The sequence below is a fragment of the Homo sapiens genome, chromosome 10 (assembly GCF_000001405.40).
Source record: "Homo sapiens chromosome 10, GRCh38.p14 Primary Assembly".
NCBI lineage: Eukaryota > Metazoa > Chordata > Mammalia > Primates > Hominidae > Homo > Homo sapiens.
Genome location: NC_000010.11, coordinates 92459171 through 92476034, shown reverse-complemented (window position 1 = coordinate 92476034; position 16864 = coordinate 92459171). Strand labels below are relative to the sequence as shown.

At 41.1% G+C, this 16864-nt stretch overlaps 1 protein-coding gene across 14 annotated transcripts in view; it reads left to right on the top strand.

The window, feature by feature from the left end:
- The window catches only part of IDE (insulin degrading enzyme), a 122410-nt gene that overhangs the window by 98059 nt on the left and 7487 nt on the right, over window positions 1-16864 (top strand). For all 14 annotated transcript variants that reach the window (NR_136399.2, NM_001322794.2, NM_001322793.2 and 11 more), the window contains 7 exons: window positions 41-151; window positions 1074-1194; window positions 5690-5781; window positions 7045-7156; window positions 10192-10359; window positions 12032-12304; window positions 14783-14844. Coding sequence is in view for 13 of the 14 variants with exons in the window: in NM_001322794.2 (NP_001309723.1) it covers window positions 41-151; window positions 1074-1194; window positions 5690-5781; window positions 7045-7156; window positions 10192-10359; window positions 12032-12304; window positions 14783-14844 (939 nt within the window). In the remaining variant the exon portion in view is untranslated. The remainder of the gene's footprint in view (window positions 1-40; window positions 152-1073; window positions 1195-5689; window positions 5782-7044; window positions 7157-10191; window positions 10360-12031; window positions 12305-14782; window positions 14845-16864) is intronic.

Genomic DNA, 16864 nt, shown 5'->3' with positions numbered 1-16864 from the left:
GATATTTTTAGACTTTTAATACCCTGAATTCTTTCTGTAGCTTTCAGTGAAAGGTTACAATGACAAGCAGCCAATTTTACTAAAGAAGATTATTGAGAAAATGGCTACCTTTGAGATTGATGAAAAAAGATTTGAAATTATCAAAGAAGCAGTAAGTTTTCTGAACCCTGCTTTTTTATTCATAAGATAATATTGCTATATTATAAAAAGTTTTCATAATAGTTTTTATAATATAAAAGAAGCAAGGAGGAAAAGAAGAATTCATAACCCTGTGGCATTCATCTCACCTTGTCATTGCAAAATCCTATACTCCATCCAGAAAGAAATCCTAGTAGACTCTGGTGGACACCTGGCCTCTTCTCTGTGGGTGCCAAGAGCTCACTGCAATTCAGAGTTGCAGCTCTGAATTTCAAAGAGAAGCACTTAGTGGCTGTCAGGGCCTCCTTGAATGTTCCATCCCAACCTCTAGTTCAGAAGAACACGCAATTCAGCAGACTGAGGTCTGCTTTACCTCAAGACCTTGTCACATTAGAGCACACTATTTGGGTTTGACATATCTTCCACTTACATTCAATTCATGTTTGGCCCAGTAATGGAAGTATGGGATGAACAGCTGCTTCTGAAGCTAAACTATGACCTTTCCTTGTATACTAGAAGAAACTACCATCAGTTTTCAAATAAAGATTCCATATTTTATATGGCTACCTATTTATGTTGCTTGCTTATGGAGACTTTGGGGATGGCTTTATAGCGTAGAACCTAAAGATTCCAAAAGACTTCCCTGAAAACTAGGGATAACTTTCTGAGGGACTAAAGATATCCCATAGTGAAGGCACTTATAGTCCATGTCAGATGCTGAACAAATGTAGCTTGGACAAAGAAAAAGCATGCACTTTTATGTAAAGATCGGAGAGGAATAAACCCCATTCTTAATTATATAACTTCAGAAAGGGGAAAGAAGGGAATATCCTAGTAATACAGTTTATAGAGAATTGAAATTTGATTATAACTGGACTTTTGAAATGATTTTTAAAAGATTTATAAAATTAATGAACGCATGTCTCTTTCACTAGTATATGCGATCTCTTAACAATTTCCGGGCTGAACAGCCTCACCAGCATGCCATGTACTACCTCCGCTTGCTGATGACTGAAGTGGCCTGGACTAAAGATGAGTTAAAAGAAGCTCTGGATGGTGAGACTTTCTACTTAAAGCTTAATGCTTTCTTCATTTTTTTCCTAAATTCATTTTGGTTTATTCTGATATTGACTGTTTATACTTTTAAATAACTTGTAGTTCTATTAAAGCTGGCTGTGTATATGTTTTATAAAAACAGTGGTGGGCAGGATGGCTATAGTTAACAGTAACATATACTTTTAAATAGGTAGAAGGAAGATATTGAACATTCCCAACCCAAACAAATGATAAATAAACTTGAGATGATGGATATGCTTAGTACCCTGATGTGATCACTATACATTATATGTATATATAATAACATTATATACTCTATGAATATCTACAATTATTATTTGTCAATTAAAAATAAAATGTAAAAAAACAGTGGTGGCTTTGAAGTGGTTTTTGCATTCAGGCAGGTTAGCCACATTTACTGTTTTCAATCTGGACCTACACCAGTTAATTATTACTACTTTTAGATTTCTGCAGAAGGGCTGGGTTGCACATACCTGTAATCCTAGTACTTTTGGGAGGCGGAGAAAGGAGGATCGCTTGATCCCAGGAGTTTGAGACCACCCTGGGCAATATAGTGAGACTCTGTCTCTACAAAAAATAATAAAACTATTAGCTGGATATGGTGGCTTACACCTGTGGTCCCACTTACTCAAGAGGCTGTGGTTGAGAGGATTGCTTGAGCCCGGGAAGTTGAGGCTGCAGTGAGCCATGATTACGCCACTGTGCTCCAGCTTGGATGACAGAGCAAGACTCTGTCTCTGCCTCCAAAAAAAAATTTTTTTTTCTGCAGACTAAATGCTCTGACCCAAGTACTAACCTTGTTAATATTGAAGGATTTTTATTTGGTGTTTTTTTTTTTAAAGACGGAGTCTGCTCTGTTGCCCAGGCTGGAGTGCAGTGGTGCAATCTCAGCTCATTGCAACCTCCACCTCCCAGGTTCAAGCAGTTTTCCTGCCTCAGCCTCCCGAGTAGCTGGGATTACAGGTGTATACCACCACACCTGGCAAACTTTTTGTATTTTTAGTAGGGACAGGGTTTCACCATGTTGGCCAGGCTGGTCTTGAACTCCTGACCTCCGGTGATCCGCCTGCCTTGGCCTCCCAGCATGCTGGGATTACAGGCATGAGCCACCGCGACCGGCCAATATTGAAGTTTTAAGAAAAAGTTAGCTGAACTTCAAAGTCTTAACACACAATGTTCAGGTTTTTTTTTTTTTCCTGCTTTAGCATCCTTAGATCAGTTCAGTTAAAAATTGGAAAATGTGAAAGCCTAAAGAGTCATCTTTTGTTGTTTTTTTCCCTAGAATCTTAAGTCTAATTTTCAGGAGTTTGGCTTGAAAATCCAAAATTCCTTAAGAGCAGTGATTATACCTGCCTTCCATACCCCTTTACTTAGTATCTAGTATAATATTATGCCCTCAGTGTGTATCTAATGAATGCCTATTGAATGTAAAGAAATTACTTTCAGGATTTCTTTACTGGAAAAAAATGTAGATTGGTATCACCCTTTATTATTGTTTTAGATTTTTTACTTCTCAACATTACCTCGCCAATTAATCTTTCTTCCTATGTGCTCAGCCATAAGCATTAAAATGCAATAAAAAGAATTTTGGGCCGGGTGCCGTGGCTCACACCTGTAATCCCAGCACTTTAGGAGGCCGAGGCAGGCGGATCACGAGGTCAGGAGATGGAGACCATGGTGAATCCCCGTCTGTACTAAAAATACAAAAAATTAGCCGGGCGTGGTGGCGGGTGCCTGTAGTCCCAGCTACTCGGGAGGCTGAGGCAGGAGAATGTCGTGAACCTGGGAGGCGGAGCTTACAGTGAGCCGAGATAATGCCACTGCACTCCAGCCTGGGCGACAGAGTGAGACTCTTGTCTAAAAAAAAAAAAAAAAAAATTCTGGGCTGGGCATGGTGGCTCACGCCTGTAATCTCAGCAACTTTGGGAGGCCGAGGCGGGCGGATCACAAGGTCAAGAGATCGAGACCATTCTGGCCAACATGGTGAAACCCACGTCTACAAAAAATACAAAAATTAGCTGGGCATGGTGGCGTTCACCTGTAGTCCCAGCTACTTGGTAGGCTGAGGCAGGAGAATCGCTTGAACCCAGGAGGCAGAGGTTGCAGTGAGCCGAGATCGTGCCACTGCACTCCAGCCTGGCAACAGAGATTCCATCTCAAAAAAAAAAAAAAAAAAAGAATTCTGTTGAATGTTTTAATAACCTTTTGTGACAAGTTCTTATACTTACGTAACACTATGCTTTTGATGTCATCAGTGACACAAATCGAGCAAAGTACTGAAAGTCATTATTTTGTTGATTGCCTCAGGCATTGGATAGGAGACTAGATTATAAAAATCACTTACTAGAACAGGTACATTTTTTTATCAGGACAGTTAATATGCTTTTCTTTGCAAAATGATTATGGTCATATGCAATTAATAGCAAGAATTATACCTTTTAAAAATACCACACAATTAATTTTAAATGTTTTCCAAAACGAAGCCTACTTTTATAATGATCAAAAAGCAAAGGTTTGAGGGTTTTATTCACCCTTCGTTAGAATCTAGGTCAGATGGCATGTTAATTTTAAGCAGAATAAGCTCTATAGTATCTCAGAGGGATATGAAGGCTTCCTAAAATGGATTTTGTAAAGAGAATAGTCAGTTCTTTTTTTATTTAAATTTTCTGCTCAAGTAAATAATTATTCCATTTTGATATATATACTCCTACAATAATCCAAAATGCCAGAATGGCTTAATTTGGAAACAACTCAGTGTGAGAGGCTGCCTCTTCAGTGACTCTAAATCATTCAGCTATCCAGGTGCCAGGGTAGCAAGAACTTCAGGGTTCAGTGTGGTCCAGCAGCATTTACTGACTGCCTGCCATGCACCCAGCCCAAGACTGCAGGTGCTTGAGATTAAAAAATGATCAATTAAACATGGCAAAACCCCATCTCTACAAAAAATACAAAAATTAGCCAGGCGTGGTGGTGCATGCCTGCATTCCTAGCTACTCAAGAGGCTAAGGCAGGAGAATCGCTTGAACCCAGGAGGCGGAGGTTGCACCACTGCACTTCAGCCTGGGTGACAGAGCAAGACTCTGTCTCAAAAATAAATAAATAAAAATTTAAAATGATCAATTAGATGGGGTTTCTTTGATCAAGGAGCTCCAGTCTGGTGGTGAAGCATAAATGTAAGTAGATCATTTTAATAGAGAGAGACAAGGGGGTAAGTATTGTGGTGGAAAGCTGCAGAGAGTGCCGAGGGAGCCTAGTGAAGAGGACCCCTAAGGCAGTACAGTGGAATAGAATGAACATCCACTTTGGAATTGACCAAGGATCAAATCCCAGCTCTGCAATTTACTAGCTTAATGACTTTGAACAACAAACTTAAATTTTCTTAACTTCATTTTCCTATCTTTAAAGTGGGGATAATAGTAGCTACTTTATAGTGTGAAAGATAACATCTGTAAAATTCCTGATCTGTGGTAAGCACTTGTTATTTGCATTCCCATGTTTCTCCTTAAATGTCTATCACTGATTTTAGCATCCATTGGTAGATCTTGCATGTAGCAGTTATTACTATGGTGTCCTAATGGAGAAGGGACAGCTCTTCCTTACAGAAGGATTAAATTAATATATGTAAAAAGAAAGAGGGAAATAGAAAAATTGCCATTAGAACTCCATAGTAATAATTGCTACAGGCAATAACTACCAATGGATGCTAAAATTAGTGGGTCAAATTTAAAGAAAAAGAAAATATTTGTATAATCTCATTTACTTTTCCCAAAATAAATATTTAGTAATTACAAAGGGAAAAATAGGTGTAGATGGGCAAGTGGGCTTTTCCAAATTGCATATAGAGCACATATGAGTTATTAAATTATAAATAAAAGAATAAAATAATACATTTACAGTGAGGACATCTGGCAGACACCACCTTAACCAAGTGATCAGTTTTAACATCACTAGTACTACAACATATCAACTTCATGAGTCCCCTGATAGAATGCAGTGAGAAAGGCGCATTACCTTTGTGGTATTCTTTGTGGTAATACAGACATGAAATCTAATTGTGAGAAAACACCAGACAAACCCAAATGTGGGACTTCTATAAAATAACTGAACAGTACTCTTCAAAAGTCTTAAGATCATGAAATATATGGAAGGACTGAGAAACTGTCAGAGATTAGAGGGAACTAAAGACATATGACAGCTAAATGTAATGGAGGGTTGTGGATCAAATCCTGGAATAAAAAAAAAGATAAAAATGGGAAAAATCCAAATAAAGTCTGTACTTTAGTTAATAGTATTATACCAATGTTAATTTCTTAGTTTTGATGGTTATGAAAGATGTTAACATTAGGGAAAACTAGGTGAAGTGTTTACAGGAGCTCTGTGTACTATTTTTGCAAGTCTTCTGTAAGTCTCAAATTATCTCAAACAAAAAATCCCTCATAGGTAGCGCTCACTATGTCTTCTTACACCTTTGCAGATGTAACCCTTCCTCGCCTTAAGGCCTTCATACCTCAGCTCCTGTCACGGCTGCACATTGAAGCCCTTCTCCATGGAAACATAACAAAGCAGGTGGGTGGTTGAGGTTTTAGCAATCTTTTGTGGATCATTGCAAGATATTTTTTCCCTCTAGTCTTTCTCAAGATTGTTAACCAGCATGGTGTGATAAGGAACACATTAGAGTTTACTCAACCCTCTTGCTCTGTGGAGGAAGGTAGAGGGCACAGGGAAAGTAGAATGATGGTGATTAACTGAGGACCTAACTTTCATGGCTGCCTCCTCTGCTGTTTTCTACCTTGTGCAATCATAGGAGGAAATGGGAGTAATTATCCCTACTCTGTATAGGGTGGCATAATTGTATAGTAGATAAGAGCACGTGCTGTAGAATTAGACAGCCTGGATTCAAATCCTGGCTCTGCTATATACTAGATCTGTAATCTTTTGAAAATGTCTTAACTCTGTGCTTATCTGTTTTCTTTTCTGTAAAATTAGAGTTACAGTAGCACCTACGTCATGTGTGGTAAGGATTAAATAGTACATGCTAAGTACTTAGCACATGGAAAGCACTACAAAATTTCCGTGGCAGTCTGTCTCAAGATCCCTCAGTCTCGGCCGGGTGCAGTGGCTCACGCCTATCATCTCAGTACTTTGGAGGCTGAGGCAGGAGGATTACTTGAACCCAAGAGTTCGAGAGCAGCCTGGGCAACATAACTCTACAAAAAATTGAAAAACAGCCAGGTGTGGTAGTGCATGCCTGTAGTCCTAGCTACTCAGGAGGCTGAGGCAAGAGGATCTCTTGAGCCTAGGAGGTTGAGGCTGCAGTGAGTTATGATTGTGCCACTGCACTCCAGCCTGGGTAACAGAACGAAACCCTGTCTCAAAAAAAAAAAAGAAAAGATCCCTTGGTCTCTACCACTCTGCTATACCCCCTCCAGAACAATATGCCCAAGGTCAGATGCTAATAAGTGGCAGAAGCAAGATTCTTACCAAGGTCATTTTACCTACAATAAAGCCTATGTTTGCCTCCCTTGCTTTTCTGTGACCCCAGGTGTCTGTAGTCAGGATCATTTCACTTGAGACCATCTTTGGCAGTGCCTTTTTTCCAGCATCAGCATCAGTGTTGATGATTGTTTGGGTGTCTGTTTCTTTCACCACTACCATATTGACTCTATTGCAAAATGACCATACTGACAAATTCAATTTTTATCCATTTGAATAGGATCAAATATATTTAAGGTTTTAGAATCCACTTTTATGATAAACAAAGCCAGTTTATTTCACAAACAAGATATGTTTATGTTTTTGTAATATGCTGGGACATATCTTTTTCCATAGGCTGCATTAGGAATTATGCAGATGGTTGAAGACACCCTCATTGAACATGCTCATACCAAACCTCTCCTTCCAAGTCAGCTGGTTCGGTATAGAGAAGTTCAGCTCCCTGACAGTAAGTAGAGATGTTGTAACTTTGGGAATGGACTATTTTGACATAACAGTGTGGGTGATTACAGGTGGGCTGAATTTGGTATAGTTTTACGCCAAAGATTTACTTGGGAACCTCTCCTATTTACAGAATTATGATTAGAGATAGGTAATTCTGCCAAAAAAATTTTTGGTAGGAGGGCCAAATAAGTAAAATTGGAGATAGGCAATAATTTTGAAGAGAATGATACTGGAATTGACGGGTACTTGAATGAAGGGGAATTAGGAAGTAAAAATATCACAAAGGTATTGACTATGAGTCATGAAATAAAATACATTTATAAAAATGGAAACTGGAATTATAATATTTAATTGGAAACCCATAGGATTCTTTGGCAGAAATAGTTTTAGGAAACCCACAGGTGCAGATAACATGTAATCATTACAAGTATATTTTTATAAGGGATTAACAAAGACTTTTATTGAATTTATATATTGGGGTTTACAATGTTGGGTTACTTTTACATTAACAGTGGCTTCTTCTGATAAAAACTCATTAAGCATTATTGTCAATATTGCTCAAAACTGTGTAATAGAAGGTATATTAAATGAAGGAAGAGAAGCTTTTTTTGGCCAAGCTTGATTGTTTGGTTGTTCCCTATGCATGAACCATCTGTGCTGCCTTTTCCCCCCAGCTATTTTATCCTCCCAAAATGGTGTTCTCCTTTCCCCCTTCTTCTTCATGGGCCAGTGCCTACATCCTACTTCTCCTTCCAGGCCTATTTTATAAGCTACTTATTCCACTAAACTTTTTCTAAAACTCCCAGCTAGAAATAATCACATCTACCTCTGGACTTGCAGCACAATTTTTCTGAACCTCCCTATTCAAGCTACTTAGCACTTCTCTTGTGTTGGGATTGAAGTGCATCTCCATCTTCTTGTTAGACTGTACATTCCTTAAAGCCAAAGTCTGTGTCTAGTTCATTTGAGTAGCTTCTAAAGCAACTGGAACATATTATTACTTCAGGATACCTTTGTTGAATGCTTAGAGATACGTTGAGCCCAGCTCTGCTGTTGTGCATGACCAGTCATCACAGATCTGGTAGTGGTTTATTTCCAACTTTTGCCAGTTTATTCCTCAGTCACTAAAACCAGGACAAGACTCAGGATGTGCTGATCCCACTACAATTAGAGAAAGACTCAGGATATTCTATGCAAGAGCCATAACAGTTGACTTCAAAGTGAGGCCAGTGTAGAAACAATATTTCAAAGTGCAATTCATCCTTCTTACTTCTTTTGACTCTACTTCCCTCTTTCTGTCTCCTTTCCTAGGATCTTAATCTCTTTTGCCTCCTAAGTACCCTCCCAAATTTCTCCATGTTCAAAAATAGCCCAGTTCACATCTCATTCTCAAAATGCTAAGTGGTAGGAAATCATGCTGAATTAGCCAGCTGATCAGATGTGAATCTTTAAATAGTTCTTCACTTAACTCTCCATGGAAAGGCACTTAGTATTTAAAAGTAAAATATTCAGGCCTGGGTGGTGGCTCATTCCTATAATCCCAGCACTTTGGGAGGCCAAGGTAAAAAGATTGCTTGAAGCCAGGAATTTGAGATTAGGCTGGGTAAAATAGAACTTGTTTCTACAAAAAATTTAAAATAAAAAAAATTAGCTGGGCATAGTGGCGCACACCTGTAGCTACTTAGGAGGCTGAGGTGGGATGATCGCTTGAGCCCAGGAGGTTGAGGCTGCAATGAGCCATGATTGTGCCACTGCACTCCAGTCTGGGTGCCAGAGTGACAGACTGTCTCAAGTGAAAAGGAAAATTTTCAAGCATTATAAAGGAGATGTTTTATTTATCTTTATTTTTGTTATTATTTTTTGAGACGGAGTCTTACTCTGTCACCCAGGCTGGAGTATAGTGGCACAATATCAGCTCACTGCAACCGAGAAGATGTTTTAGAATATATATGAAAAGGGCCAGGCAGCCGGGTGCAGTGGCTCACACCTGTAATCCCAGCACTTTGGGAGGCTGAGGTGGGTGGATCACCTGAGGTCAGGAGTTTGAGACCAGCCTGGCCAACATGGTGAAACCCCGTCTCTACTAAAAATACAAAAATTAGCTGGGCATAGTGGCAGGCACCTGTAATCCCGGCTACTTGGGAGGCTGAGGTAGGAGAGTTGCTTGAACCCAGGAGATGGAGGTTGCAGTGAGCCGAGATTGCACCACTGCACTCCAGCCTGGGTGACAGAGCCAGACTCCGTCTCAAAAAAAAAAAAAGAAAAGGGCCAGGCGTGGTGGCCTACATCTGTAATCCCAGCATTTTGGGAGGCCAAAGCAGGCGGATCACCTGAGGTCAGGAATTCAAGACCAGCGTGGCCAACATGGCAAAACCCCGTATCTACCAAAAATAGAAAAATTAGCCAGGTGTGGGGGCACATGCCTATAGTCCCAGCTACTCAGGAGGCTGAGGCAAGAGAATTGCTTGAACCCAGTAGGCGGAGGTTGCAGTGAGCTGAGATGGCACCACTTCACTCCAGCCTGGGTGACAGAACAAGACTTTGTCTCAAAAAAAAAAGTACAAAAAGGCTAGAAGGATGTGAGGTGGGTGAGGGAGAGAGGCTTACAGGCCACGTTCCTCTCTCTCTGCTTTTTTTTTTTTTTTTTTTTTTGAGACAGGGTCTCACTCTGTGTCTTGGTCTGGAGTGCAGTGGTATACTCACAGCTCACTGCAGCCTCAAACTCCTGGGGTCAAGTGATCCTCCCGCCTCAGCCTCCCAAGTAGCTGGGACTATAAATGTGAGCCATGGCACTGGCTCCCCTCCTTCTGATGAGAGGGAACTTAGTGCTGCCAATTTATAATTAGTAAGTTTGACTGTTGGTCAAAGTTGGACATGATCAGAAAAGTGAAATCAATGAAATACAACTCCAGGCTTCTCTACCTCCCTTTTCTATTAATGTCTAAATTATCATCTGTAAGTGTGGGCAGACATAGCATTGACTTTATTAAACCCCAAATAAGTTTTTGAACTTGCTGCTGTCTTTTTGAAACTTCCTAGGAGGATGGTTTGTTTATCAGCAGAGAAATGAAGTTCACAATAACTGTGGCATCGAGATATACTACCAAACAGACATGCAAAGCACCTCAGAGAATATGTTTCTGGAGCTCTTCTGTCAGATTATCTCGGAACCTTGCTTCAACACCCTGCGCACCAAGGAGCAGTTGGGTGAGAGGAAAGTGGGGAAATAGCAGGGTACTGTAGACTTTGATGAATTATTTTCCCTGTAAAACATTTTCCACATTTTCACCTAACACTGTATATCAGGCATGGTCTACTTAGAGAGACTTGAGAAAACCTTATTACAGAGAATCCACTTCTAAAAGATAAGCAATCACTATCTTATGGACATTAAAGCAATTATTTATGAGATGATACTGCATATTACATACATGTCAATAAAGAGGGCATTTTAGGTGGGGGAAAAGGATACTAAGGACAAGCTTATGGGTAGCAAGATGAGAAATGAGCCATCCAGAGGAGCTTAGATTCACTAAAGCCTGAGTTCCTTGAGGGCAGGTATTATCTCTCATTCGTCTTTATATCCCAAGCCTGGGACATACAGAAGGCACAGCAAGTGTTCCCAGTTTTAGATACTGTTAAAAGTCTTGAGGTACTGGCAGATTTGATCAATGAGGAAAGAAGCTCAAAGAAGCCCCAGTAATGACAGAAAGGAACCAGTGAAAAAAGGATGAGTCTCTCCAAGTACCCATCATTGTTTAAATACCCATTGTGCTAGGTGCTGGACATGGAAAATGGATGCTCTGGATGGTCCTTCCTTTCGAGGAGCTCACAGTCAAATCAGGATGGCAGGCCTGTAAAGGAATAATTTTAGTACAGCATGGTAAATGTTATTATAAGAGCTCAAACTATTGGCCGGGCACGGTGGCTCACGCCTATAATCCCAGCACTTTGGGAGGCTGCGGCGGGTGGATCACCTGAGGTCAGGAGTTCAAGACCAGACTGGCCAACATGGTGAGACCCCATCTTTACTAAAAATACAAAGATTAGCTGGGCGTGGTGGTGCATGCCTGTAATCCCAGCTACTCAGGAGGCTGAGGCAGAGAATCACTTGAACCCGGGAGGCAGAGTTTGCAGTGAGCGGAGATCGTGCCACTTGACTCCAGCTTGGGTGACAGAGCGAGACTCCATCTCAAAGAAAATCAAACTGTGAATGGCTATGTTGAAGATAGAAACTTCCTCAGAAGTGAGACCCAGAGGCACCACAGCTGTTGGAGGTGGTAGATCAGGGCAGGGCAGCTGAAGGAGATAAGCCAAGAGCTTGGTTTTGAAAAGGTGTTGAAGGAAGGTAGTGCATGTCCTCATGAGATAACATGGAAGTATGACTTTTAGTTAGCTTGATCTCTAGAGAGTTGCATTCTGAATTAATTGGTTCAGGAATGGATTATCTAACAAGAAATACAGTAGGAGAGCCGTGTTCATATGCGGAACTTGGATGTTAAAGGAAACACAGCTAGGACTGTCACTAAGGGATGAAAATGAGTCCAGCATTTTATATTCTGGGAGTAACTTTAGCATAGATTGAAGAGGATTAACTCACAGAGAGTGAGGAGTGACAAGATGGGAGTTTGAATAATGAATAGGATTTTTTTCCTAAGAAGAAGAAAAAGTCATCTCCAACTTTGTAATTCTTCAGAGAGCTCTTCTGCTCTGTCCTTAGGAACTGAAACCATCTTAAGTGCTCATATTTCTTTAAGAGGTGAATACTCTAAAACCTTAAACTAGATTTTATTTGCTCAGACAGGTTAGTTTTTGAAGGATTAAAAATGACCCAGGTCTCAAATGCCACGGTCATGACTGGCTGATGTCTGTGTTTCAGGCTATATCGTCTTCAGCGGGCCACGTCGAGCTAATGGCATACAGGGCTTGAGATTCATCATCCAGTCAGAAAAGCCACCTCACTACCTAGAAAGCAGAGTGGAAGCTTTCTTAATTACCATGGAAAAGTCCATAGAGGACATGACAGAAGAGGCCTTCCAAAAACACATTCAGGCATTAGCAATTCGTCGACTAGACAAACCAAAGAAGCTATCTGCTGAGTGTGCTAAATACTGGGGAGAAATCATCTCCCAGCAATATAATTTTGACAGAGGTAAGGTAAAATTAGGGCTCCAACATTTATGGCATTCAAGTAACATTTGATTAAGGCCATTCTACAAAATGGTATTCATTTTGTAGGTGATATTCCGTTACCTATTTGGGGAGTTGGGGTGGGGGGATGGCTGGCACTTCCAAAGAACTGTTACTTAATTTAACCCCAGTTTTCTGTTAGAAACCTTATCTCTTTTTTTTCCCTCCAAACCTAGACCTGGATCTACCCATATCTCACAATAAAGTATTAATAATTCAATTTCACATTTTTGTTTCATCAGTGTATCCTGAGATTCTGATCACAGATACCTAAGTATCTATTTCCCATAATACTAAAAAAATGAGATAATACCAGATTGAACCCCTTTGAGGCAAATGCTGCCCTTGAGGCACAGGAGTTCAAACATTTGCCTGTAGGGATCTCCAAAGATTTTTCACTCCTTTCAGATTTGGGAGAGCTGTGATTCTTGAAGTCTCTTGTCTTGAATCAGCTTCCTTTCACCTTGCTTCTAGAGCATAGATTAACAACGGATTGTGCTAAGCTGTACTAGAAGTCAGAGGATGTGGGTTGTGTTCTTACTCTGACACCAACAAGCTAAAAATCTTGGTCAAGACACCTTTTTTGGACCTCAGTTTCCTTACCCATAATTTTTATTTTTGTTTTGTTCTTTCAGAGAGTATCTCACTCTGTCAGCCAGGCTTGAGTACAGTGTGTCATCATAGCTCACTGTAGCCTTGAATTCCTAGGCTCAAGCGATTCTCCTGCCTCAGGCTCCCAAAGTGCTGGGATTACAGGCGTGAGCCACCACGTCCAGCCTACTTATAATTTATCTAGCAGTTGGATTCACTATTAATGATAATACTGTCTCTCATTTATTGAGCATTTGCCGTGTACCTAGCAGTGTTATTGTCATGTATCTTTTTCCTAATTCTCACTGCAGCCCTTATTAAGTAGTTATTATCCCCAATTTCCAGATGAGGAAACTGAGGCTTAGAAAAGTTGAGGTGACTGGCCAAGATCCAAAAGCTCATAACCAGAGAGCCAGGATGTGAATCCAGGCTGGCCTGGCTCCTGAGCCAAGGCTCTTACCCATTGCACTACATCCACTTATTATTTTTTTTTTAAGATGGAGTTTCGCTCTTGTTGCCCAGGCTGGAGTGCAATGGCACGATCTCCGGCTCACCGCAACCTCCACCTCCCGGGTTCAAGCAATTCTGCCTCAGCCTCCCAAGTAGCTGGGATTACAGGCATGTGCCACCACTTTGTATTTTTAGTAGAGATGGGGTTTCTCCATGTTGGTCAGGGTGGTCTCGAACTCCCAACCTTAGGTGATCCCCCTGCCTCGGCCTCCCAAAATGCTGGGATTACAGGTGTGAGCCACTGCACCTGGCCTTTTTTTTTTTTTTTTTTTTTATGAGACAGTTTTGCTCTGTCGCCCAGGCTGTAGTATAGTGATGTGATCTTGGCTCACTGCAACCTCTGCTTCCCAGGTTCAGGTGATTCTCATGTCTCAGCCTCTCCCGAGTAGCTAGGTCTACAGGCATACTCCACTATGCCTGGCTAATTTTTATATTTTTAGTAGAGATGGGGTTTCACCATGTTGGCCAGGCTGGTCTCAAACTTCTGGCCTCGAGTGATCCACCTACCTTGGCCTCCCAAAGTGCTGGGATTATAGGCATGAGCCACTGTGCCCAGCCAACATCCACTTACTTTTATTTGAAATCAAAGCAAATGGTCACGTAAAAATGTGGATGCTTGGCTAGGCACAGTGGCTCACGCCTGTAATCCCAACATTTTGGGAGTGCGAGGCGGGCGGATCACGAGTTAGGAGATCGAGACCATCCTGGCTAACACGGTGAAACCCCGTATCTACTAAGAATATAAAAAAGAAAAAAAAAATTAGCTGGGCATGGTGGCGGGCGCCTGTAGTCCCAGCTACTTGGGAGACTGAGGCAGGAGAATGGCATGAACCCGGGAGGCAGAGCTTACAGTGAGCTGAGATCGCACCACTGCACAACAGCCTGGGTGAGAGAGCAAGACTCCATCTCAAAAAAAAAAAAAAATTGTGAATACTTGGCCAGACGCGATGGCTCACGCCTATAATCCCGGCACTTTGGGAGGCTGAGGTGGACAGATCACTTGAGGTCAGGAGTTCAAGACCAGCCTAGCCAACATGGCGAAACCCCATCTCTGCTGAAAATATAAAAATTACCCAGACGTGTTGGCTTGTGCCTGTAATCCCAACTACTCAGGAGGCTTAAGGCAGGTGAATCACTTGAACCCAGGAGGCAGAGGTTGCAGTGAGCCGAGATCGAGCCACTGCACTCCAGCGTGGGTGACAGAGTGAAACTCTGTCTCAAAAAAAAATATATATGGATACTTAAGAGTCTTGGAGTGAAGTATATTGTCATTTAGTGTACTGTTCTGGGCTGCTTCATATGAAAATGTTAGTAAAATATTGTTTGATTACTTTTTCAGATAACACTGAGGTTGCATATTTAAAGACACTTACCAAGGAAGATATCATCAAATTCTACAAGGTAAGTCAAATTCATATATTTAGATTTTGACTGATATGAAAGTATTATAGGGCTGGGTATGGCGGCCTACACCTGTAATCCCAGCACTTTGGGAGGCCAAGGTGGAAGGATCACTTGAGGTCAGGAGTTAAAGACCAGCCTGGCCAACATGGTGAAACCCCATTTATACTAAAAATACAAAAATTAGCTGGGCGTAGTGGCATACGCCTGTAATCCCAGCTACTCAGGAGGCTGAAGCATGAGAATCGCTTGAACCTGGGAGGCAGAGGTTGCAGTGAGTGGAGATCATGCCACTGCACTCCTGTCTGGGTGACAGAGCGAAACTGTGCCTCAAAAAAACCAAAACACCTATTGTATGTGCTATATTGTGTGTTGCTGCTTTGAAGCCATTCAGGCTGGATTTATGAAGGTGTTTTTGTGGATTTGAGTTTTTTGACACAAACGCTTAATGACTTTTAGAATAAAGATAGTTTTTATTGAACCAAGTACTGTTTTCCTCTCCCTCTAAACCAAGTTTGCTGAACCTGCAGCCTGCGGGCCATGTACAGCCCACATTATGAGATATTTTGCAAATTTTTTTTCTTTTAGCTTATCAGCTATTGTTAGTGTATTTTATGTGTGGCCCATGACAATTCTTCTTCTTCCAGTGTGGCCCAAGGAAGCCAAAAGATTGACCCATGCTCTAAACCAAGGACTGTGACAGCCCTTCCTGACTTCCAGATCTACCTTTTTAGGCACCCTTTCAGTTTCTTCTCTCTGTTCTCCACCCTACTCTGCAAAGAATATTGCTGAGCTTGTTTGGTGGGAAGGAAGAACAAAGAAAACAAAAGAACTTGAGAATCAGATTATTTTCCAAGCTCTGACAACTATAAATTATCTTCACCCATTTAGGTGCCACTGTGGCTGCTTTTTAAAATAAATGATTACTCACCTTTGAATTGTGGTCAGAGATATTATAAGTTTTACATGCTTGCGCTCACTTAGGAAGTCTATCAAAAAGAAAGGGAGGCACCACCATTAAAGTCTTCCCAGCAAGCTTTAAGAGATTCACACCGGCTGGGCGTGGTGGCTCACGCCTGTAATCCCAGCACTTTGGGAGGCCAAGGTGGGTGAATCACGAGGTCAGGAGTTCAAGATCAGCCTGGCCAACATAGTGAAACCCTGTCTCTACTAAAAATAATAATAATAAAAAAATTAGCTGGGCATGGTGGCGGGTGCCTGTAATCCCAGCTACTCAGGAGGCTGAGGCAGAAGAATCACTTGAACCCGGGAGGCGGAGGTTGCAGTGAGCTGAGATCGCACCACTGCACACCAGCCCGGGCGACAGTGCGAGACTCTGTCTCAAAAAAAAAAAAAAAAAAAAAAAGAGGTTCACACCATCTAAATCTTCCCCTATATAAAAATTCTAAGAAGGATAGCAAAATTTCCATTAGGTAGGTATATGAATGTGTAATAAGTATGCTAAATGCAAAAACTCAAAATTTGTGCTGCAATGGAATTGCACCTAAAGTGTTACATATGTTTTTTGTAATATATTGGGGCCTCTAGTTTGTGTAAAATACTCATATGCCTATTTTTCAAAATAAGGAGCAAAATTATACTCTGTGATTACCATAGTACCTTAGAATTGTCCCTTAATGTTCTAGCCATTTCTGGTTTGTATCTGTCATTATGTTGTTTGGACGGGGACTCAGTCCTGCCCTGTGCCCACATCCTTTTAGAGAGATACTCTACAGTATTTTTTTCTAGGGATGTACTATAGCTACCAGCATAGGAGTCAGTGCTTACAGTTCTCATTAGAATGACTTTGTGAAGTTAGTGGTACAATGAGGCTTGATCACATTTTCTCCTGTACTAGGGTTTCTAATGTTTATTTAATTCACCACTCCTAGTGCTGAGTGAGAGGGTAAGGAAAAAGTAACAGTCTTTGACCCAAAGGTGCTGATAGTTTCTTTGAGGAAAATGGTGATTTTGTATCATCCATGAGTTGCTTACACCTCTCCCAGCAACTCTTCTGCAA